At 37.6% G+C, this 26,662-nt stretch overlaps 1 protein-coding gene and 1 pseudogene across 12 annotated transcripts in view, besides 1 other annotated feature; one reads left to right on the top strand and one right to left on the bottom strand.

Moving 5' to 3' along the window:
* RABGAP1L (RAB GTPase activating protein 1 like) overlaps positions 1 to 26,662 on the bottom strand; it is an 835,789-nt gene that overhangs the window by 610,600 nt on the left and 198,527 nt on the right. For all 12 annotated transcript variants that reach the window (NR_158982.1, XM_011510223.3, XM_047436028.1 and 9 more), the window contains one exon: positions 13,637 to 13,730. Coding sequence is in view for 11 of the 12 variants with exons in the window: in XM_011510223.3 (XP_011508525.1) it covers positions 13,637 to 13,730 (94 nt within the window). In the remaining variant the exon portion in view is untranslated. The remainder of the gene's footprint in view (positions 1 to 13,636; positions 13,731 to 26,662) is intronic.
* Positions 1,195 to 1,759: an enhancer, noted in NCBI's record as "NANOG-H3K27ac-H3K4me1 hESC enhancer chr1:174352088-174352652 (GRCh37/hg19 assembly coordinates)". NCBI's record gives its function as "activates a minimal SCP1, AML or CMV promoter by ChIP-STARR-seq in primed H9 embryonic stem cells {active_cell/tissue: H9 hESC(primed)}" and the evidence as "EXISTENCE:reporter gene assay evidence [ECO:0000049][PMID:30033119]".
* Positions 16,744 to 24,232, top strand: LOC100302291 (forty-two-three domain containing 1 pseudogene; annotated as a pseudogene).

Below are 26,662 nucleotides of genomic sequence, written 5' to 3'. Positions count from 1 at the left end.
CATAACTTTGCAGGATAAGAAGAGAGAAGTTAGTTAAGACAGAGTTACCTATAATAAATATTACAAAATAAAGAGAGAAAAATGGATATGCAAGGTATAATGAAGGCACTGTTCTGACAAGAGAAAAGAACACACTTCAAATAGCCATCTATGTATAAGACATAAATTTCTTTTTTTTTTTCCTTTTTTTCCTTTTTTTTGGTTTAGTGACACTATTCTTGCTTCAGCACCTACTGCAGTTAAAACTCAGGGCTTTTTTTTCTTTTTTGTCATTTATTTAAGGCACAATTTATACAGAGTAAAATTCACATTTTTAGTATACAATTCTGTGAGATTTGACAAATGCACATAGGTTTGTGAGCACTACCATAACCAAGATACAGGATAGTTCCCTCATTCCCCCCATACCCAAATTCCCTGGACCCTCTTGTAGTCAATACCACCAGTCCTTAACAACTACTGACATGCTTCCTATGATGATAGTTTTGACTTTTCCAGAATTTCATACAAATGGAATAACATAGTATTAAGTCACTTGACTTTGGCATAGGTCACTTAACATGATGCACTTGAGATCCATCAGTTGTAATGTATATCAGTTCATTCTTTTAATTGCTCAGTAGCATTCCATACAATGAATATACCACAGTTGGTTGATCCATTTACTTTTGACGGACATTTGGGTTGTTTGCAGTTTGGGGTGATTATGAGCAAGGCTATCATAAACATTCACATACAGGTTTTAATTTCACTTTGGTAAACACACAGCAGTGGGACTGGAATTGCTGGGGTGGTATAAGAAGGGTCTTCAATTTTATAAAATACCATGCTATTTTCCAAAATGGCTACACCATTTTGTATTTCCACCAGCAACATATGAGAGTTGCAGTTGCGAGGAGGAGCCAAGATGGCCGAATAGGAACAGCTCCGGTCTACAGCTCCCAGCATGAGCGACGCAGAAGACGGGTGATTTCTGCATTTCCATCTGAGGTACCGGGTTCATCTCACTAGGGAGTGCCAGACAGTGGGTGCAGGCCAGTGGGTGCGCGCACCGTGCGCGAGCCGAAGCAGGGCGAGGCATTGCCTCACTTGGGAAGCGCAAGGGGTCAGGGAGTTCCCTTTCCCAGTCAAAGAAAGCGGTGACGGACGCACCTGGAAAATCGGGTCACTCCCACCCGAATATTGCCCTTTCCAGACCGGCTTAAAAAACGGCGCACCACGAGATTATATCCCACACCTGGCTCAGAGGGTCCTACGCCAACGGAATCTCGCTGATTGCTAGCACAGCAGTCTGAGATCAAACTGCAAGGCGGCAGTGAGGCTGGGGGAGGGGCGCCCGCCATTGCCCAGGCTTGCTTAGGTAAACAAAGCAGCCAGGAAGCTCGAACTGGGTGGAGCCCACCACAGCTCAAGGAGGCCTGCCTGCCTCTGTAGGCTCCACCTCTGAGGGCAGGGCACAGACAAACAAAAAGACAGCAGTAACCTCTGCAGACTTAAATGTCCCTGTCTGACAGCTTTGAAGAGAGCAGTGGTTCTCCCAGCACGCAGCTGGAGATCTGAGAACGGGCAGACTGCCTCCTCAAGTGGGTCCCTGACCCCTGACCCCCGAGCAGCCTAACTGGGAGGCACCCCCCAGCAGGGGCACACTGACACCTCACATCGCAGGGTATTCCAACAGACCTGCAGCTGAGGGTCCTGTCTGTTAGAAGGAAAACTAACAAACAGAAAGGACATCCACACCGAAAACCCATCTGTACATCACCATCATCAAAGACCAAAAGTACATAAAACCACAAAGATGGGGAAAAAACAGAACAGAAAAACTGGAAACTCTAAAACGCAGAGTGTCTCTCCTCCTCCAAAGGAACGCAGTTCCTCACCAGCAACGGAACAAAGCTGGATGGAGAATGACTTTGACAAGCTGAGAGAAGAAGGCTTCAGACGATCAAATTACTCTGAGCTACGGGAGGACATTCAAACCAAAGGCAAAGAAGTTGAAAACTTTGAAAAAAATTTAGAAGAATGTATAACTAGAATAACCAATACAGAGAAGTGCTTAAAGGAGCTGATGGAGCTGAAAACCAAGGCTCGAGAACTACGTGAAGAATGCAGAAGCCTCAGGAGCCGATGCGATCAACTGGAAGAAAGGGTATCAGCAATGGAAGATGAAATGAATGAAATGAAGCGAGAAGGGAAGTTTAGAGAAAAAAGAATAAAAAGAAATGAGCAAAGCCTCCAAGAAATATGGGACTATGTGAAAAGACCAAATCTACGTCTGATTGGTGTACCTGAAAGTGATGGGGACAATGGAACCAAGTTGGAAAACACTCTGCAGGATATTATCCAGGAGAACTTCCCCAATCTAGCAAGGCAGGCCAACGTTCAGATTCAGGAAATACAGAGAACGCCACAAAGATACTCCTCGAGAAGAGCAACTCCAAGACACATAATTGTCAGATTCACCAAAGTTGAAATGAAGGAAAAAATGTTAAGGGCAGCCAGAGAGAAAGGTCGGGTTACCCTCAAAGGGAAGCCCATCAGACTAACAGCGGATCTCTCGGCAGAAACCCTACAAGCCAGAAGAGAGTGGGGGCCAATATTCAACATTCTTAAAGAAAAGAATTTTCAACCCAGAATTTCATATCCAGCCAAACTAAGCTTCATAAGTGAAGGAGAAATAAAATACTTTACAGACAAGCAAATGCTGACAGATTTTGTCACCACCAGGCCTGCCCTAAAAGAGCTCCTGAAGGAAGCGCTAAACATGGAAAGGAACAACCGGTACCAGCCGCTGCAAAATCATGCCAAAATGTAAAGACCATCGAGACTAGGAAGAAACTGCATCAACTAATGAGCAAAATCACCAGCTAACATCATAATGACAGGATCAAATTCACACATAACAATATTAACTTTAAATGTAAATGGACTAAATGCTCCAATTAAAAGACACAGACTGGCAAATTGGATAAAGAGTCAAGACCCATCAGTGTGCTGTATTCAGGAAACCCATCTCACGTGCAGAGACATACATAGGCTCAAAATAAAAGGATGGAGGAAGATCTACCAAGCAAATGGAAAACAAAAAAAGGCAGGGGTTGCAATCCTAGTCTCTGATAAAACAGACTTTACACCAACAAAGATCAAAAGAGACAAAGAAGGCCATTACATAATGGTAAAGGGATCAATTCAACAAGAAGAGCTAACTATCCTAAATATATATGCACCCAATACAGGAGCACCCAGATTCATAAAGCAAGTCCTGAGTGACCTACAAAGAGACTTAGACTCCCACACATTAATAATGGGAGACTTTAACACCCCACTGTCAACATTAGACAGATCAAAGAGACAGAAAGTCAACAAGGATACCCAGGAATTGAACTCAGCTCTGCACCAAGTGGACCTAATAGACATCTACAGAACTCTCCACCCCAAATCAACAGAATATACATTTTTTTCAGCACCACACCACACCTATTCCAAAATTGACCACAGAGTTGGAAGTAAAGCTCTCCTCAGCAAATGTAAAAGAACAGAAATTATAACAAACTATCTCTCAGACCACAGTGCAATCAAACTAGAACTCAGGATTAAGAATCTCACTCAAAGCCACTCAACTACATGGAAACTGAACAACCTGCTCCTGAATGACTACTGGGTACATAACGAAATGAAGGCAGAAATAAAGATGTTCTTTGAAACCAACGAGAACAAAGACACCACATACCAGAATCTCTGGGACGCATTCAAAGCAGTGTGTAGAGGGAAATTTATAGCACTAAATGCCCACAAGAGAAAGCAGGAGAGATCCAAAATTGACACCCTAACATCACAATTAAAAGAACTAGAAAAGCAAGAGCAAACACATTCAAAAGCTAGCAGAAGGCAAGAAATAACTAAAATCAGAGCAGAACTGAAGGAAATAGAGACACAAAAAACCCTTCAAAAAATCAATGAATCCAGGAGCTGGTTTTTTGAAAGGATCAACAAAATTGATAGACCGCTAGCAAGACTAATAAAGAAAAAAAGAGAGAAGAATCAAATAGACACAATAAAAAATGATAAAGGGGATATCATCACAGATCCCACAGAAATACAAACTACCATCAGAGAATACTACAAACACCTCTACGCAAATAAACTAGAAAATCTAGAAGAAATGGATATATTCCTTGACACATACACTCTCCCAAGACTAAACCAGGAAGAAGTTGAATCTCTGAATAGACCAATAACAGGAGCTGAAATTGTGGCAATAATCAATAGTTTACCAACCAAAAAGAGTCCAGGACCAGATGGATTCACAGCCGAATTCTACCAGAGGTACAAGGAGGAACCGGTACCATTCCTTCTGAAACTATTCCAATCAATAGAAAAAGAGGGAATCCTCCCTAACTCATTTTATAAGGCCAGCATCATTCTGATACCAAAGCCAGGCAGAGACACAACCAAAAAAGAGAATTTTAGACCAATATACTTGATGAACATTGATGCAAAAATCCTCAATAAAATACTGGCAAAACGAATCCAGCAGCACATCAAAAAGCTTATCCACCATGATCAAGTGGGCTTCAACCCTGGGATGCAAGGCTGGTTCAATATACGCAAATCAATAAATGTAATCCAGCATATAAACAGAGCCAAAGACAAAAACCACATGATTATCTCAATAGATGCAGAAAAAGCCTTTGACAAAATTCAACAACCCTTCATGCTAAAAACTCTCAATAAATTAGGTATTGATGGGACGTATTTCAAAATAATAAGAGCTATCTATGACAAACCCACAGCCAATATCATACTGAATGGGCAAAAACTGGAAGCATTCCCTTTGAAAACTGGCACAAGACAGGGATGCCCTCTCTCACCACTCCTATTCAACTTAGTGTTGGAAGTTCTGGCCAGGGCAATTAGGCAGGAGAAGGAAATAAAGGGTATTCAATTAGGAAAAGAGGAAGTCAAATTGTCCCTGTTTGCAGACGACATGATTGTATATCTAGAAAACCCCATTGTCTCAGCCCAAAATCTCCTTAAGCTGATAAGCAACTTCAGCAAAGTCTCAGGATACAAAATCAATGTACAAAAATCACAAGCATTCTTATACACCAATAACAGACAAACAGAGAGCCAAATCATGAGTGAACTCCCATTCACAATTGCTTCAAAGAGAATAAAATACCTAGGAATCCAACTTACAAGGGATGTGAAGGACCTCTTCAAGGAGAACTACAAACCACTGCTCAAGGAAATAAAAGAGGATACATACAAATGGAAGAACATGCCATGCTCATGGGTAGGAAGAATCAATATCGTGAAAATGGCCATACTGCCCAAGGTAATTTACAGATTCAATGCCATCCCCATCAAGCTACCAATGACTTTCTTCACAGAATTGGAAAAAACTACTTTAAAGTTCATATGGAACCAAAAAACAGCCCGCATCGCCAAGTCAATCCTAAGCCAAAAGAACAAAGCTGGAGGCATCACACTACCTGACTTCAAACTATACTACAAGGCTACAGTACCCAAAACAGCATGGTACTGGTACCAAAACAGAGATATAGATCAATGGAACAGAACAGAGCCCTCAGAAATAACGCCGCATATCTACAACTATCTGATCTTTGACAAACCTGAGAAAAACAAGCAATGGGGAAAGGGTTCCCTATTTAATAAATGGTGCTGGGAAAACTCGCTAGCCATATGTAGAAAGCTGAAACTGGATCCCTTCCTTACACCTTATACAAAAATCAATTCAAGATGGATTAAAGATTTAAACGTTAGACCTAAAACCATAAAAACCCTAGAAGAAAACCTAGGCATTACCATTCAGGACATAGGCATGGGCAAGGACTTCATGTCCAAAACACCAAAAGCAATGGCAACAAAAGCCAAAATTGACAAATGGGATCTAATTAAACTAAAGAGCTTCTGCACAGCAAAAGAAACTACCATCAGAGTGAACAGGCAACCTACAAAATGGGAGAAAATTTTCGCAACCTACTCATCTGACAAAGGACTGATATCCAGAATCTACAATGAACTCAAACAAATTTACAAGAAAAAAACAAACAATCCCATCAAAAAGTGGGCGAAGGACATGAACAGACACTTCTCAAGAGAAGACATTTATGCAGCCAAAAAACACATGAAAAAATGCTCATCATCACTGGCCATCAGAGAAATGCAAATCAAAACCACAATGAGATACCATCTCACACCAGTCAGAATGGCAATCATTAAAAAGTCAGGAAACAACAGGTGCTGGAGAGGATGTGGAGAAATAGGAACACTTTTACACTGTTGGTGGGACTGTAAACTAGTTCAACCATTGTGGAAGTCAGTGTGGCGATTCCTCAGGGATCTAGAACTAGAAATACCATTTGACCCAGCCATCCCATTACTCGGTATATACCCAAAGGACTATAAATCATGCTGCTATAAAGACACATACACACGTATGTTTATTGCGGCATTATTCACAATAGCAAAGACTTGGAACCAACCCAAATGTCCAACAATGATAGACTGGATTAAGAAAATGTGGCACATATACACCATGGAATACTATGCAGCCGTAAAAAATGATGAGTTCATGTCCTTTGTAGGGACATGGATGAAATTGGAAATCATCATTCTCAGTAAACTATCGCAAGAACAAAAAACCAAACACCGCATATTCTCACTCATAGGTGAGAATTGAACAATGAGATCACATGGACACAGGAAGGGGAATATCACACTCTGGGGACTGTTGTGGGGTGGGGGGAGGGGGGAGGGATAGCATTGGGAGATATACCTAATGCTAGATGATGAGTTAGTGGGTGCAGCGCACCAGCATGGCACATGTATACATATGTAACTAACCTGCACAATGTGCACATGTACCCTAAAACTTAAAGTATAATAAAAAATAATAATAATAAAATCTTAAAAAAAAAAAAAAGAGTTGCAGTTGCTATGCTACGCTTTCAATGTCTCCACATTCTTGCCAACACTTGTTATTATCTGTCTTTGTAATGATTGACATCGTAGTGGGTATGAAGTGGTATCTCACTGTAGCTTTGATTGGCATTTCCCTGATGGTTAATGATATTGAGCATCTTTTTATGTGCTACTTGGCCATTTGTATGTCTTCTTTAGAAAATGTCTGTTTAGATTGCGTGGCTCTATTTCTGAACTCTCTTTTCTATGCCACTAATCTCAGTGTCTATCCTTGTATCAATACTCTTTTGACTACTGTAGTGCTACAGTAAACCTAGAAATCAGGTAATATGCCTTTCCATTGTGTTCTTCACTTTCAAAATTGTTTTGGCTATTCTAGTTACTCTGCTTCCTATATAAATTTTAAAATCAGCTTGTTGGTTGCTACCAAAAAATCTGCTGAGATTTTTATTGGAAATGCACTAATTTTAAGATTAGTTTGGGAATGACTGAAATCTTAATAATATTGAGATTTTTTCATTCCATGAACATAGCATATATCTTCATTTATTTCTGTCTTCTTTGATGTCTTTGATTACTGTTTTCTAGTATGTCAAAGTATATATTTAGCTCACAATTTGTTCGATTTCTATATATTTCATGGTTTTCCTTTATGGTGCTTTTTTGTTTCAAAATTTCTATTTCCAATTTTTCACTGCCAGTGTATAGAAATGAAACTGATGTGCACATATTGATCTTGTATCTTTTAACATTGTAAAACTCATTTATTAGATCTAGGAGTTTTGTTTGTTTGTTTTGTAGATTCCTTGGGGTTTTCTACACAGACAATCACATCTCTGCAAATAGAGACAGTGTTATATTTTTCTTTCCAATCTTGTTTGCCTTTTATTTCTTTTTCTTGCCTGTTACACTTGCTAAGACCTCTAGTACTAAGTTGAGTAAGAGTCATGAGAGTAGATATCCCTACCTTATTCCCAGTTTTGGGATCTGTCATTCTTAAGTTAGATGTTAGCTGCAGGTTTTTCATAGGTACCTTTTATCAGGTTAAGAAAGGTCCCTTGTATTCCTAGCTTGCTCAGAGGTTTTTTTGTTTTTTGGTTTTTTTAAATCAAGAATGAATGCTGAATTGGGTCAAATGCTTTTTCTGCATCTATTGAAATGATTATATGGTTTTTCTTCTTTAGCCTATTGATATAAGTGAATAACACTGATTTATTTTCAAATGTCAAAGCAGCCTTGCATTCCCAAAATACGTCCCACGTAGTCATGCAACATTATCCTTTCAAATTTATATATTGTTGGATTTGATATGCTAGGACTTGTTGAGGCTTTTTTAGTCTATATCCATGAGGGACACTCGTCTGCAATTTTCTTTTCTGTAATATTTTCATCCGGTTTTGATATCATGGTAAGCAAATGACATAAATTAGCTGGAAAGTATTGCCTTCACTTATATATTCTGGAAAGTTTATGTAGAATTTATATATTTTTTCCTTCCTTCCTTCTTTCCCTTCCTTCCTTCCTTCTTTCCTTTCCTTCCTTCCTTCTCTTTCTTTCTTCCTTTCTTTCCTTCACTTTCTTTCCTTCTTTCTTTTTCTTTCTCTCTCTCCTTCCTTCTCTCTTTCTCTATCTCTCTCTGTCTTTCTCTCCTTCCTTCTTTCCTTTTCTTTACTTTACTTTACTCTACTTTATTTTCTGACAGAGTCTTGCTCTGTCACTGGCTGGAGTGCAGTGGTACAATCTGAGCTCACTGCAACCTCTGCCTCCTAGGCTCAGGCAATTCTTGTGCCTCAGCCTCCCGGGTAGCTGAGATTACAGGTGCACACCACCATGCCTGGCTAATTTTTTTGATATTTTTAGTAGAGATAGGGTTTCATTATGTTGGCTAGGCTGGTCTCAAACTCATTACCTCAAGTGATCGGCTCGCCTCAGCCTCCTGAAGTGCTGGGATTACAGGCATGAGCCACTGTGCCCAGTCTTATTATTTTTTTCTTAAATATTTGGTAGAATTTGCCATTTTGGCCTCAAATTTTCTCTATTGAAAACTTTTAAACTATGAATTCAATTTTGTCAACTAATACAGGAGTATTCAGGTTATTTATTTCAAGTAAGCTTTGGCAATTTATGACTTTCAAGTGTTTGTCGATTTCACCTAAGCTTCTAAATTTATAGACAGTGAGTTGCTTATAATATTATTTTATATCCTTGTAATGTCTGTAGTGATTTGTAATGATGTAGCCTCTTTGATTCTTGTATCTGTGTTCTCTCTCTCCCTTGTTTTTCTTGGTCAGTCTAGTTAGATGGTTATCTTTATCAAACATATTAATCTTTATAAAAATCAGCTTCAGTTTGACTGATTTTCTGAAGTGTTCTTCTCAATTCCATTTATTTCTGTTCTTATTTCCTTGCTTCTGCTTGCTTTGGGTTTTTCTCTTTTTTCCTAGTATCTAAAGATAGAAGCTTAGATCATTGACAGACTTGTTTTCTAGTATAATATGCCATGAATTTTAAATCTATTTTGAAATAAGAGCATGCAAAGGCAAAAAAGAAAAGCATAATATTTTTTCTATATTAAATTTTGTTTATAGTTTTAGAATATTAACTGCCATGTAGAAAATGTAATGAATAAATAATTTAAAATCAAAAGAAACTTGACTGACAAAAATCCAATGTCTGTCTCTACTTCCTTTCCCAAACATTCTCACCTTGCCATATCTCCCAATAAGCATGTCGACTTTTAACTAAATTTCATCTAAGAATCAAGAAAGTGAGATGTTTGTACATATTCTCTTAAATGAAACAGCCCAGACTGTTATTGTAAATTCCTCAAGAATGGTGATATAATCCCAAACCATAAAAAGACAATAAAAATTAAGGTATTTTCTCAATCTAAGGGCTAGGAAAAAGAAAAACAAAACACACAAAAAAACTTTGCAAACATTATTCCACTTCTGAAAGACAAAGCATGCATACATGAGCAGGTTTATAAAAGCTTCACTGGAAAAATGGAACCTAAAAATGTTAAATAACTTGTGCAAGCTACCTATCAAGTTAGCACTACAACTGGAAGTCTAATTCAGTTCTGAGTTTAAGCGTAATGTATTTTTCCCATTAAATTATATTCCCCTCCGATAGATCTTATCAAGTTGAAATTATTTTGCCTTTGGGAGTAAATTACGGACAAGAAGAAACACCTTATCCAAAGAAAATTAGTTTCTACAATACCTATATATTGATATCTAGGAGCTGTTTTGCTGATTAATTTCAATTGGAGTATAAGGTATTAGTTTTAGGTGTTGTGTATTTTGCTATACTAGAAAGAATGTGTTGGGCCCGTAAAAAGTAAGCACCCAATTCTCAGTAATGTGAGAGCCAGTAAGAAGGGAGTCCTTGTTTTATGAAGTGGCCACAACGGAAGACTATGCCCCTGTTCTTCACCAGAGAATCAGGGACAAATAAACTCTGTCCAGAGAGTAGAGCTGCCGCAGGAGACACGTTGCTTATTTCTATGATGCATGGAGGTCCATGTAAATTCCTAAGCCTTCCCCCAGCAAATAACTTGAAGTGGGAAAGGAAGAAACCACGTAACAGTAGCAGCCAAGCTGTGGTATCAATGCATACGCTACCATTACATCCAATACTATCAATCACATCCACATGGTTGGACCATAAAAGTACACTTTCAGACCAAAGATGAAGAAGATTAGGACAAGTTGTTGGTGCTGTTTTTTTTCTTATCAGTGCTCCTAATAAATAAATCTCTATCTAAAAACATTGGGTATCAGGAAAGCCTAATTCAATTGGACCAGATAAATGGGTAAATGAGAATTAGGCCCAGCTTTTACCCTTTTGTAGTCATTTACCCACTGCCTATCAGCTACAAGTCCACCCTTCTGTATTCTGCTCAAAGATGTAAGGGCTGAGAATCTGCAGACTACATATCCCAAACTCCCTTGCCCACTGGCTTTCAGGTTAGGTTCTGCCCATGAGTAATAGTGATGTACAGTTGGAAGGCAGAAGAATGGAAGAAGGAATTCCATTGCCAGCACCAGCTATATCGTTAACTCCTGAAAAATACTAATACTAGCCAGGCTAACAAGTACCAGCACCAATGATGTGGTCCTCCCCACCTGCTCCAAGATCTGGGTATCTCTTCAGAAGTGTGGAACTAAACAGTTGTCCCCTGCCCTGACAGTTCTTTCTAAACACTAGCTGCTATGAGGATCCTCATAATTCTAAGCAACCAGGATGCAGCCCTCTTCAGAGATCCCTGCATCAGCTCCTCAGACCTCCTCTGAGTTCCTAGACTCTGGTAACAATACTTCTTTCATTTTATTTCTCCAGTCCCATAGGCCATAGCTGTTTCCTACTACTTGGGTTACTCCAATCATAATATCTCCTTTCTGCTCTCTCAACCTTCTAACACATTGTAAGCCAATTATCTGCATTAAAATGCTTCTGTTTAAAAAGTTTAGCATGCTTCCTGTTTCCCAGCCTGGTCTGAGACTGAAAAAGTCATCTGCCTCTAACTAGAACACACTCTCCCATCTCACTTCCTGCCGCTCTCCATCCCACATTGAAACTGTCCTAACTCAGGACCATCTAAAAAGAGAACTGTTCATCTTAAAGGAAGAGAGTAACCCTAAATAAAACAGATAAAAACATATGAGGTACATTTAGGTGGACAATGCTTGCAAATGAGTAAGTTAGATTCTGGATATAATGTGGGGTAAAATTGTGTAAGATTTTTGAAATGGACAAAATGATAACTGAACATCATTTCAATAGAATGGCTGGAACATCTGGGAATTGGGTGACAACATAGAAGTGTGTGCCTTTGTCTTTGACTAGGCTAGTTTACAACTCTCAACATATATAACATAATGGCAATGCAAAGTTTACTGTCCATAGCTATGCAAATGACTCCCATTCATGGTAGTGCAAATGAATTGCCAGGTAAAGAAAATAAATCTCTAAATCAAATCCTTATTTTGATTGGCTCTAATACCTTATTGGTGCTCCATGTGAAAATAAAACCTAAAAGCTGTTGGAATAAAAAAAAACAACAACACTTTAAGTCTTGAGAGAGACGTGACTGTTATCTGAGTCACATATGGTTACAACTTCTGTTCTTGGATTATACATTAAATCACATTTTTCTTGTTTTGTACGATAACTAGAGAGAATTAAATGATGTCAAGGACCAAAACCTCCTGCCTTCTTCATTAATGACCCTTGTTATAGGTTAACATCCCTTTTGTCATTCTGCTTCACTTAGACCAGATAACAGAAAACCTACGATTATTGTACCCTCTATAAAAAAAGTTAAAAAAAATTTTTAACATCCCCCCGCCGAAAAAAGCACTGCCTATAACCAACCAAACTGCTGTAACTATGCACCAGCCCTGTATGAATAATGTCATAATCCTGCTAAAAACTCCTGTGCCTCTGCCTATATAAATGAAATCTTAACTTCCCTACTTTGGACCACTGACTGCATTCCTTTAGAGGTGGTGTTTCTGGGTGGTCCATGCTCATATTTTGCTATTGAATAAATTACCTTTAAATTAGATTCTGACCCTTTTGATTATTTTATGTTGACATTCATTAATGAGTTAAATAAGTTCTCTGAAATGTGTTCATTTTATGTGATATGTGTAAGGATACATAAAATGAAATTTTCTTTGCTTAAAAAGGAGAAGCAGCTGGCCATTCAGGGTTTATCTCCTTAAAAACAATAACAGGCCCAATACTTTGGTCCAAATTTGATAAACCTAATCTCCAGATTTTACAATGAAAAATCATCAGTATTCCAACCGTTGGAACTGTAAATACATATTTCCTAAATTACAACTAAGGAAACTCTCAAGATGCATACAGACTATCATAAGGAGCATCCACTTTTCTCTTGAAAGGATAAAAGAGGTTTAAATTATTCTTTCTTCTACTGAACTGTGAAATTCCGCCCAGACTTTGTAGTCTCCCCTGGACTACCCGCATGCATGTAATCTGAGTGCATATTCAACAATAAATTGAATTTCTATGTCTATACTAATATGGGGAAGTATTTTGTTGGCAGGATTTTTTCATTACACCAACATATGATAGTCATAATTACCATTTTAAAAAATGTATCATAAATATAAAAAGTACTTAATATAATAAATATAAACAGAGTACTTTTTTTGTAATTCCACATAAAATACGCCAAAATTTAAAGTAATACTTTTAGTCAGAAAGAATGAAACAAGCTGTGTCAGTTAACAATCAGCGTAAAATGAGAAATTCTAAACTATACAGCCCATTTTAGTGGTAATAGACTTGGTTTTAAAAAAACATAACCCTTTAACAGTAGACATTTAAATGCATTGGCAATATAGCATAAAATTGACTGTGCTAAATGATGTGAAATAATAAGACAAATAATACGGTCTGAGTGAAATAATAAGACAAAGACATCTTCTAAAAGCAAGTTAAATAAAACCATACTTGGGGGGAAGACCTAGCCAAACATAAAGAGTATCTATAAATTATATTTTAATTTTTAAGTTTTTAAACAATATTAAGATATTAAGATAGATTTTAATATTAATCCTTTAAAACCTATTTTAACACACAGATTTTAATACAACAAATTAACATCAACTATGTAAATATAGAATTTTCAGTATGAAAAATAAAATTTTACCATTTTCCTAGCAACTCTCCCCAAGAATACAGGATCTTCTCAGGACAATCCTTAGACACATCACCTGTTCCACTTGAGAGTTCATTATCACTCTCTGCAGAAGAAACGCAAAAACCAACAAACATTATTTTATATATTACAGTAGATACTTTATATATCATACAATAAACATGACTCCATGTCTAATAAAACCAGCTTCTCTTCATATTATTACATGCATTGCAAAAATAACAGTAAGAATTTCATTAATTTATCTTCAGTGCCTAGATATTTTAAAAGAACAAACTTTTATGAAAATCTCATATACAGTTTACATAACATGAAATTGAAAATATAAATAAATAGCTGTATCCAAAGACTAATGTTTAAAGGCTAATGGTAGCACAACTGGAAATTCCCATATGGTGTTCTACTCACCAGATATTCTCAAATTTTATTAATGGGACCAACAAACATAAAAATTAAGGGCCAAACATATATACCTAAATATAACACTGAGAAACATACATATTATGATATAAACACACAAACAACCGGAAATGTAAAAAAAAAAAAAAAAAGTTAGGTTTCTTAAGATGTATTTGTAAAAAAAAAAAAAAAAAAAAAAAAGGTATTTTTAACTAAAGGAAAATTGAAACTGGCCTTTTTATATGGCAATTTTACAAACACCTCAAAATGTAAAATAATAGTTTAAGAAACAATATGGGTTGATTTACAGTTTATAATCGGTGGTGAAAACGACCAATACTAAACTCTATAAACCTTTTAAGCAGTAGCAGAGGTAGTAGAGAAAGGAAAGAAAGAACAATAGACACAATGTACCTATTATAAAATAGTCTTTGACACAGTACTACATAAGAAAAGGCTGGAGAAGTACTATCGGAATAAAATAAGATAGCTGAAAATCTATCTGGCAGATAACAAGTACCAAAGTTTTATCAACACTGTGACAGTATAAGAGGGATTGGCATTTAGTGGCTCCCACGGGGATCTGTGTTAAGAACAGTAGTATTACTTAGCATACCACAAAATCCAATGATCCAAGTATATGCAACATCAGAAAACATTAATGTAATAAGTAATGGTTTATTTGGCCAGGTTAAAACATTAGGTCACAGCCATACAAAAAAGATTTGATGACACATTTAGTAAAATATAACCAAAATATGTCCACATACAGAGACAAATGTTTCATCATCTTTAAAGCAATACTAGGTAAATAAGAATTATAAGGGACATTTAATGCAAAAAGTGAACATCATTCTGTTAATTAAAATGAAGGCAAAGAGAGTACACACTAGCATGACTGTTCTAGAAATACCTCACATAAGCAACTGTATGAAGCTTGTAATAAGTTCATCATGAAAATAACAGATATTTTAAAAGTTAAAGCAAATGAAATATTACTACTATAGAAGTAATGTAAATAGAAACAACTGAATGATATAAATAGAAACAACTAAAGCTTTAGTGTTACAATACCCTGAGGAACTATCCCATGTAAACAACTATCTTTTATAACATTTATAATTTTTTATTTAAACTGAGGCACTTTTTATAGTGAAAGAGGACTATTAAAAATTATTCTTGGTCAAGTGCAGTGGCTCAGGCCTGTAATCCCAGCACTTTGGGAGGCCAAGGAGGGCCTGAGCTCAGGGGTTTGAGACCAGCCTGGGCAACATGGTAAAACCCTGTTTCTATCAAAATTACAAAAAATTAGCTGGGCATGGTGGCGTACTCCTATAGTCCCAGCTACTCAGGAGGCTGAGATGGGAGGATCACTTGAGCCTGGGAGGCCACAGTTGCAGTGAGCCAAGATTGTGCCACTGCACTCCAGCCTGAGTGACAGAGTGAGACCTCATCTCAAAAAAAAAAATTATTCTGGAAGACAGGTTAAACTTAGACTATGTCACGCAAACAAGGACTGATAGTTGGCCCACTTATAAATTGGTACCAAGTATAGGTACTTATAAATTGGTATTCAATTAAGCAGGATCCAAGATCATCCCATCTAATACTCTATTCTGATCCACAGTAACTAATAATGTGCCAAGGTTTCAGGCTATTTGATTATGTTGTACATGCCAAATTAGAGACCAAAATCTAGGAACACAATGAAAACAAAAAAGAGAAAAGGAAATAAACATTCCTAGATATTATAAATCTTGATTATAATAAAAATTAGACAATAATACTGATGACAGAAAATCTTTCAAATTCATAATACTCTTGTAGGGAAAGGAATTCCTAAGCATAAGAACAAAATCAAGTTACCATTAAAAAGATTTAAAAATCTGACTACCTATAATTTTAAAAAATCTATGACGGTATAGAGTATGTATATTTTTTAAAAGCAAAAAAATTTCCAACATTTGACAAATGGCTATTTTCACTAATATACCACAATCTTACTAATCAATAGAATAAAGAAAAATCCAATAGAAAACTGAGCTAAGGATATCGACACAGTACAGGTCACAATATGTAAAACATGACTAAAATAAAAATGTTATAGAAAACCCCATTTCATGAATCTTTTAAATGCAAATTAAAACAATGAAACGTATCTACCAATTACATTGACAGAGAGTATAAAAATTGATAATACCTAGTTTTCCTAAAAGCATAAGGAAACAGGTAAGAAGGCTGATGTTTAAATAAGAACAATCTTTTTGAATTTATTAAGATGCTAAGTTAATATATCATTTGATCAAATTTATTCTCCAGAAACACATACTCGAAAGACATATTTGTAACAGGATTCTTAGTGTATCACTGCTTGTAATAGTAAGAAACTGAACTATCAGCAATCCATCAATATGTTTTACTAACTAAATTATGGTATATTCAAGAGTATTCCAGAGAACACTATCAAGTAATTTAAAGGAATGGGATAAATTGGTCTATGCTGGCAACCACGGGTGGGAGGACAAGGATGCTGCCCGGCAGTCTGCTTGCGTGTGTGCATGAGAGATGGCAGGCCTCCAACTCTGGCCTTCCGCACTGACTGTTCTAGCACCACATTTCCAGCCATGAACCAGTTTGGTACCCAGTTGGTAGAAGCCACAGTGACCTTGTCACAGCTGCTGAAAGCTCGCAGCAACAAACACCTTGACAAAATTGGTATGTCTTTGGCTGGTGTCATCAAACTGAATTGAAAGAAAGGAAAAAAGCAGAATTTTCCAAAACTAAACAGAAGACTCCAGCAATTTAGGATGAGAATACAATGGGTACTCCAACAGAATTCTGGTTTTGGTAAAACCAGTCTAAGCTGCAGAGGAAGAGTAATGCCTGGAAAGAGACATCCTTATGGATAATCACTGGACTTGCAGTTAGAAAATCATCTGGAATTGGAAAAGGAATTAGTCCTATGTATGTATTGTCCACGTCTAAGTGACAAGAATACAGAACACTATTTTCCAGTGTTAAAAAGAAAGGCAAGCCTTCTGAAACAAAATGAAGTGCATAGGAAACCAGTTGCAGTTCTCAAGAGACCTAACCAGCTAAACAGAAAAAATAACATTATGTCCAGTTTTACCAGGAGAGGAAATAAATTAAGCCATCAGAAAGACACTTCACAGGTAACTTTTCTTTTCGGAAGAGGCCTGAAGAAGGTTCAGGCCCAGTTGAACACGGAACAACTGCTAGATGTAGTAGCAAAGAGAACTAGTCAATGCCAGACATCTATCACAAACGCAGGAATCTGACTGTATCTATTGATAACCCTGGAGCAGTACAATGCCCAGCAACTGAGAAACCATGATTAATTCATACTGCTATACCTTCATTCTTTAAAACACGGCAGCAAGAGAATGTAAAGAAAGTTCCAACGGGTGTTCCCCTACAATTTGACATAAATAGTGTTGGAAAACAGACAGAGATGGCTTTGAATGAGCACTTTGGGATCCTGAGAAAACAAACAGCCACTCTCACATATAACAAAGGAGGAAGTCACTTTTTAACTGTGGAATAAATCCCATGTTACAGGGACTATTGTGTGACGACTGTGTTTGAAAAGCTGAATTGCTTGAAGAGTTCTTCACAGAAATTCAGAAACTTTACTTCAAAATTTTATAAGGCTAAGTAACACCTATTTTTCAAGGTTTAAAAAAAAGGATAAAATAATGCCCTGAAAGAATAACAGGGAGTATACGTAACTGTTCTTAGACTTCACAAATGGCTCAGGCAGAACCATTATCTGTTTGACTTCTTTAGTTCCTTGAGCAGAAGAAAATGGCAGAAAGATACTGTTAGTGCTAAACTTCTTTTTTTTTTTTTTTTTTTTTTTTTTTTTCCTGGAGACGGAGTCTGGCTCTGTCACCCAGGCTGGAGTGCAGTGGCACCATCTCGGCTCACTGCAACCTTCACCTTCTGGGTTCAAGTGATTCTCCTGTCTCAGCCTCCGAAGTAGCTGGGACTACAGGGGCCCGCCACCAAACCCGGCTAATTTTTTTTTTATATTTTTAGTAGAGATGAGGTTTCACCATTTTGGCCAGGTGGGTCTCAAACTCCTGACCTCAAGTGATCTGTCCACCTCAGCCTCCCAAAGTGCTGGGATTACAGGCATGAGCCACCGTGCCCAGCCTAGTGCTGAACTTTTAACAAGAAATGTGGTTGCAGGAATTAGTCTCAGTTTAAAATGTTGGTGTTTAAAGGCTGTAAATGCATATTTACAAAGTTGTCCCATAGGGCCTTGGAGGAGAAGGTCCAATGTAAAAATCTGAAAATTTGGTTAGTAAAAGAAAGCATAAGAGGAAGTAGTAACTTGAAGGACAGATAACTGAGATGAAAAACTCAAAACTCAGGTCCTAGGTATACTGTTTGGATTTAGTGTAGTCTTGAGTCTAGTGTCCACAAATAATTCTTCAAATGATGTTTAGAAGAATTATAATTATTAAAATGAATTCAGTAACCTGGATATTTTGATAGTAAAATTAATAGCCATAAAGTGCTAGACTTCTTGAGAAGTTAAATTTTATAAGCTTTAGAGTTTGCTAAATTAAATAATTTATAGATCCAAAGACAAAAATATACTGGTATTTGTCACCAAAAAAAAATCAAAATTTATAATAGAGTTACATTGTAACCTTGTTGTTTACCTTCACTCTGATTTCTGGTATGGTATAAATTAAAGTTCAGAGGGCAGAGTAAGATGGCAGAATAGAAGCCTACACCAATCACACCCCCACACTCCCTGGAACACCAAATTTTAACAACCATCTGCACAAAGAAAAACACTGTCATAAGAACCAAACATCAGGTGAGCAATCACAGCGCATGGTTTTAACTTTGTATTACCAAAAGAGGCATTGAGGAAGGATGGAGAGACAGTCATGAGTTGCTGATACCACCCCACCCACATCCCTCAGCAGCCACCGTGTGGTGCAGAAAGGCAATTTGTACACTTTGGGGATAAGGAACACAGCAACTGGGGGACTTCACATTGAATTCACTGCTGCCCTGTCACAGCGGAGGATAGAGCCATCCTAGGTTCAGCTAGCTCCCACACACAGAGGGAGCATTTGGACCAGCCCTAGCCAGCAGGGAAACATCCATCGCAGCAGATGGAACTTGAGTTGCTCAGCAAGCCTCAACACTGCGGGCTGAAATGCTCTGGGATCCTAGGTAAACTTGAAAGGCATCTAGAATGCAAAGACTGCAATTCCTAGGCAACTCCTAGCACTAGCCTTGGCTTAGAGCTAGTGAAATAGGGTGGCAGGTGCCCAGCAACTGAGAAACCATGATTAATTCATACTGCTGTACCTTCATTCTTTAAAACACGGCAGCAAGAGAATGTAAAGAAAGTTCCAACGGGTGTTCTCCTACAATTTGACATAAACAGTGTTGGAAAACAGACAGAGATGGCTTTGAATGAGCACTTTGGGATCCTGAGAAAACAAAGAGTCACTCTCACATATAACAAAGGACGAAGTCACCAGCTAGCATGGTTAAGGGAGTGCTTGCGTCACCACTCCCCCAACTCCAGGCAGTGAAGCTCCCAGCATGAAAGTGTCTCCTTCTTTCTGCTTAAGGAGAGGACAGCAAAGAGTAAAGAGGACTCTGTCTTGCATCTTGGACACCAGGTCACTCACAGTAGAATAAGGTAATGGGCAGAGTCGTGAGGCCTCAATTCCAGGCCCCAGCTCCTGGATAACATTTCTAGACACACCCTGGGCCGAAAAGGATCCCACTGCCTTGAGGGAAGAACCCAGTCCTGGAAGCATTTATCATCTGCCAACTAAAGAACTCTTGGGCCCTGAACAACCACCACTGATACCCATGGAGTACACCATTGACCTTGGGCTCTGAGACATGCTCGTTTCAGGGGTGACCCAGCACAATCCAAAATAAATAAAATTGGAGATAAAAAAGAGACATTACAATGGATACTGAAGAAATTCAAAGGATCATTTGTGGCTACTATGAGCAACCATATGCCAATAAATGGAAAAATCTAGAAGAAATTAATAAATTCCTAGACATATACAACCTACCAACATTGAACCATGAAGAAATCCAGGCCGGGCGCGGTGGCTCACGCCTGTAATCCCAGCACTTTGGGAGGCCGAGGCGGGTGGATCACGAGGTCAGGAGATCGAGACCATCCCGGCTAAAACGGTGAAACCCCGTCTCTACTAAAAATACAAAAAATTAGCCGGGCGTAGTGGCGGGCGCCTGTAGTCCCAGCTACTTGGGAGGCTGAGGCAGGAGAATGGCGTGAACCCGGGAGGCGGAGCTTGCAGTGAGCCGAGATCCCGCCACTGCACTCCAGCCTGGGCGACAGAGCGAGACTCCGTCTCAAAAAAAAAAAAAAAAAAAAAAAAAAAAAGGAAATCCAAAAGCTGAACAGAACAATAATAAGTAACAAGATCGAAGTCGTAATAAAGCCTCTAAGTAAAGAATAACTTGAGACTTGATGGCTTCACTGTTGAACTCTATCAAATATTTAAAGAACTAATACCAATCCTACTCAAACTATTCTGAAAAACAGAGGAAGAGGGAATACTTCCAGACTTACTCTAGAAGGTCAGTATTACCCTGATACCAAAAGACATATCAAAAAAGGGAAACTGTAGGCCAATATCAGTGATGTACACTGATCCAAAATTGGCAACAAAATACAAGCAAACATGAATTCAACAATACATTAAAAGAATCATTCATCATGACCAAATGGGATTTATCCCTGGGATGTAAGAATGGTTTGACATATGCAAATAAATCAATGTGATCCATCATATCAACAGAATGAAGTACAAAAACCATATGAGCATTTCAATTAATGCTGAAAAAGCACTCAATAAACTTCATCATTCCTTCATAATAAAAACCCTCAAAAAATGGGGATAGAAGAAATATACCTCAATATAACAAAAGCCAAATATGACAGACCCACAGCTAGTATCATACTGAATGGGGAAAAACTGAAAGTCTTTCCTCTAAGATCTAGAACAAAACAAGGATGCCCACTGTCACCACTGTTAACCAACAAAGTACTGAAAGTTCTAGCTAAAGCAGTCATACAAGAGAAAGAAATAAAGGACATTCAACCTAGGAATACAGCTAACTAGGGAAATGAAAGATCTCTACAAGGAGAACTACAAACCACTGCTCAAAGAAATCAGAGATGAAAAAACAAATGAAAAACATTCCATGCTCATATACAGGAAGAAGCAATATTGTGAAAATGGCCAAACTGCCCAGTGCAATTTACATATTCAATGCTATTTCTATTAAACTACCATTGACATTCTTCAAAGAACTACAAAAAAACTATTTTAAAATTCATATGGAACCCCAGAAAAGCTTGAATAGCCAAGGCAATCCTAAGCAAAAAGAAACAAAGCTGGAGACATCATGCTACATTACTTCAAACTATACTACAGGGCTATGGTAACCAAGACAGCATGGCACTGATATAAGAACAGACACATAGACCAATGGAACAGAATAGAGAACCCAAGAATAAGACCACACATCTACAACTATCTGCAACAAACCTGACAAAAACAAGCAATGGGGAAACGATTCCCTATTCAATAAATGGCACTGGGATAACTGGCTAGCCATATGCAGAAGATTAAAACTGGACCCCTTCCTTACACCATGCACAAAAATCAACTCAAGATAGATTATTGACTTAAATGTAAAACCCAAAACTATAAAAATCCTTGAAAACAACCTCAGCAATACCATTCGAGACATCGGCACAAATATTTCATGATGAAGATGCCAAAAGCAACTGCAACAGAAGCAAAAATTGATAAATGGTATCTAATTAAACTAAAGAGCTTCTGGCACAGCAAAAACAACAACAACAAAACACTATCAACAGAGTAAACAGACAATTTACAGAATGGGAGAACATTTTTGCAATTTATGCATCTGACAAAAGTCTAATATCCAGCATCTATAAGGAACTTAAATAAATTTACAAGAGAAAAACAACCCCATTAAAAAGTGGGCAAAGGACATGAACGAACATCTCTCAAAAAAAGACATACATGGGGCCAAGAATCAATGAAAGAAACCTCAACAACACTGATCATTAGAGAAATGCAAATCAAAACCACAATGAGATACCATTTCACACCAGTCAGAATGGCTATTATTAAAAAGTCAAAAATAACACATGCTGGCAAGGTTGTGGAGAAAAAGAAATGCTTATACACTGTTGGTGGGAGTGTAAGTTAGTTCTGCCTTTGTGGAAGACAGTGTGGCGATTCCTCAAAGACCTAAAGACAGAAATACCATTTGACCCAGCAATCCCATTACTGGGTATACCCAAAGAAATATAAATTGTTCTATTATAAAGACACATGCACACGGATGTTCACTGCAAAACGATTCACAATAGCAAAGACATGAAATCAACCTAAATGCCCATCAATGATAGACTGGATAAAGAAAATGTGGCACATACACACAATGGAATAATATGTAGCCATAAAAAAAATGAGATCATGTCCTTTGCAGGGACATGGATGGAGATGGAGACCATCATCCTTAGCAAACTAACGCAGGAACAGAAAACTGAATAGTGCATGTTCTCACTTGTAAGTGGGAGCTGAATGGTGAGAACACATGGGCACACAGAGGGGAACAATACACACTAGGGTCTATCGGATGGCTGAGGGTGAGAGGAGGCAGAGGATCAGGAAAAGTAATTAAAGGGTACTAGACTTAATACCTGGATGATTAAATAATCTGTACAACAAACCCCCATGACACACATTTACCTATGTAACAATCTGCACATGTACCACAGAACTTAGAATAAAAGTATTTTTTAAAAAAGTAAAAATAAAGGGCATTCATACTGAAAAGGAAGAAGTCACATTAAACTTGCTTGCAGATGATACGATCTTATGCTTGGAAAAAACTGAAGTCTCCACTAAAAAAACCACTAGAACTGATAAATTCAATAAAGTTTCAGGATACAAAATAAACATACAAAAATCAGTAGCATTTCTATATGCCAACAGTGAACAATTTAAAAAGGAAATCAAAAAAGTAATCCCATTTATAATAGCTACAAATAAAATTAAATACATACAAATTAACTTAACCAAAGAAGTGAAAGATCTCTATAATAAAAACTATAAAATGCCAATGAAAAAACTGAAAAGGATGCCAAAAAATACAAATATATTTCATGTTCATGGATTGGAAGAATCAATATCATTTAAATGTCCAGACTACCCAAAGCAATCTACAGATTCAATGTAATCCCTACCAAAATACCAATGACATTCTTCACAGAAATAGAAAAAACATGTTAAAATTTATATGAAATCACAATAGACTCAGAATAGTCAAAGCCATTCTGAGCAAAAAAAAAAAAAAACAAAACTGGAGCAATCACATTACTGACTTCAAATTATACCACAGAGCTACAGTAACCAAAACAGCATGGGACTTGCATGAAAAAAGACACAGAGACCAATGTGTGCAATGGTGCCATCTCGGCTCACTGCAAGCTCTGCCTCCCGGGTTCATGCCATTCTCCTGCCTCAGCCTCCCGAGTAGCTGGGACTACAAGCACTCACCACCATGCCCAGCTAATTTTTTGTATTTTTTAGTAGAGACGGCGTTTCACCGTGTTAGCCAGGATGGCCTCAATCTCCTGACCTTGTGATCCACCTGCCTTGGCCTCCCAAAGTGCTGGGATTACAGGCGTGAGCCACCACATCTGGCCAAAACATTTTTAAAAAATAAATTAAATGAATAAAAAAGGTAAATATCAAAGTCCAATATTAAGAGAGGAGATGAAAACTAGAAAAACTAGTTAATTAATTAATTAAAAATCAAGAATTTATGGGGAGAAAAGAGTTCCTCCCTCCACCTCTGATGGGATGGGAGGAGTCAGTCTGTTGTGCCAAGATACTGCTAAAAGTCCTCAGATGTTGTATACTGTAAATTACAGTATAATGCCAAATGCACCAAAATATCCCAGCTACAAGTTATATGTTGGGTCATTTTGAAGCTCGGCATATTAGTTTACTATAATGTTAAAAACATCTAAGTAAGCGTTAGTTTCTCTAGAGCATATTATTAGTGTTGACTTTTCCTGCAAAACAAAACATTATCATTCTTATTTTCATAAATAACATAACTTTTATGACTATACAGATCTTTTTAAAAAAACTGTAAGAAATAATGCCAAACTATTAATAGCAATTATGTTTCAGTACCTCCAACAGTATCTTATCACATAGCAAGCACTAAATACTTAGAGAATACTTCTTTTATTTCTGAGTTTTATATTTCTGAAATATTCTAATCTCTTATAAGTATGCATAATGATAAGCATGGCAAAAAAAAATTTTAACTTTTGAACAATCCCTATTGCTATATGAAACAAAAACCTATTACTATAAACCCCAACGATGTGCCATAAAATCTCACTGTTAACAACAATTATTGTCTTCCTGTCAATCTCCCAAATTATTTTCCACTACAAAAGGATATTAGAACTATAAAAACCTAGATTAGCAGAGGAGAACCACAGGAAAATAAAAGATAATAAGCACAATTTGAAGTAAAACCAGATCCCTGATGAACAAGTAAGGGAGAGGTAAAAGCAAATCAGGGGCCAAACAGTTGGATGGAAAAACAGTACTTGGCCAAAGAGGCTGGGAACCCCAGGCACTTATGAAATGTCTTCCTTTTTTATCTATATTCCACTCACTGTTCTCAATTTTAAAGGCATTAATCTATTTAATCCTCTAAAAACCTAATGAGGTAGTCACTATTAGTTTGCCCATTTTAAAAATGAGAAAATTGAGGCAGAGAGAGGTTAAGTAACTTGCCCAAGGTTACCGTGCTAATAAATGATAAAAGGTTAGAATTCAACCTGTGTTTGAATCCAGAGTCAAATACTACCTTCCCTCATAATTTTTCCCATCATGTTTTGTAAAGAAGGCTATATCTGGCATTCAGCAGACACCAGTCTGTGTGCCAAGTGCCAATATCCAGTAAATGTTGGGCACTCATGCCAAAAATAGAAAAGCTAGGCGCATTAAAGGAACATGCCCAAGAAACAGTAAATTGGGGGCAAGATTTAATTGAGAGACTTCAAGGGGTAAAATTCCCCTTGATGCCCAGAAAGAACAAAAATGAAATGAATATCCCAGTGACATCAAGCGTATGACCCAGATCTATCTTCCTCTCTGAAGAAACCAATAATCATGAGTGTTTTAAACACTTGGCAGCCTGCCAGAGAGGAAGAAAGGAGCTGAAGAAAAGTAAATTAAATTTCCTACTGTAGCAGATAAGACAAGTTTCTAGATAGGATGAATAAACTAAAAAGGAAATAAGAATGAAAAAGACACTGGAGACCAAAGTACAGTAAAAGACACACCGAGAAGGCTTGCAAGTAGAACATGACAAAGAAGATAACAGAAGGAACAATGCAACCGTGCAGATACGTAAAGGGGTAATTGAAGGTTTTGAAAAAGCAACTGTATCCCATTATACATAGAAAAAAATAGGGAGGACAAATAATAGAAAGAGGCTTAGCTAAATCCTACTTTTCCATCATAATTCAGGTTAGGGGTTACCCTCTTCTGGCTGGGTTAAATACTGCCCCCCTAGGCCCATACCATCATAGCACTTAGCACGTCATATTATAATTATAATTTTCCTCTACATTTTCTCCCATCATACTATGAGCTTCGTGATAGTAGTGGCCACTTTTATTTCTGTATTTCCAATGCTAGATTAGTACTTGGCCATAAGAGTATTCAAAATTTCCTGAATGAGTGAAGGGAGAGGACAAAGGAAAATCCATTAAAACTAGGAAAAATGTATGCCTTGGAAATAAATGAACTTTAGTATATAAGCATTTGTGTGCAGACATGGGTAAAAGGCAACTAGGTTCATTCAGTCTGTTAAAGTATACCCCTATCCAACAGACAAAATGGACTCCCTGTGGCTGAGATGCTCAAAGTAAAACAGAACCAGGAGGCCATCCTGGGTGAAGAAGCAGTCACGTACTCTGTGTTCTCAGAAAGATGTGAAAGTGTCACAGGCCCTCCCTTTCTACAATCAAGCCAAACCAGTTCCTGATGTCTGTGCCAAGATAAATAAACCAAAAACCCTACACCACCCGCCAGCCATTTGAAAGAAACATCTGACAGAGATCTCTGGTTTAGAGCTTGGAAATCAACCAATCAGGACTCACCTGCCACAGCCAATGAGGGCTCAGTTGTAGCAACGACTCAGAACTCCACTGTGCCAACTATTTGGAACTACATGAATTTAAATCTTTCATTTGCATAAATGGACCTGATTGGGAATTTGGGAAGCATATTTTTCTATAAAATCCAAACCTTCTCTTTGTTCTCTGAAATGCATTCTTCATTTTACACCGAAGGCTATGTTTCCCTGGTTTGCAAACTGTTCACTGGAAAAAAAAAAAAGTCTCTTTTCCTCGAATTCCTTTTTAGAGAATTTTGTTCGCCAGTCACTCATAATGCATAGGTCCCAAAGCCAAACGGCCTAGATTTGAAGCCCAGTTCCAAC

The sequence above is a fragment of the Homo sapiens genome, chromosome 1 (genome assembly GCF_000001405.40).
Source record: "Homo sapiens chromosome 1, GRCh38.p14 Primary Assembly".
In the NCBI taxonomy this organism is placed as follows: domain Eukaryota; kingdom Metazoa; phylum Chordata; class Mammalia; order Primates; family Hominidae; genus Homo; species Homo sapiens.
Note: the sequence above shows the minus strand (reverse complement) of the source record. Positions and strands in the feature narration are given on the sequence as shown.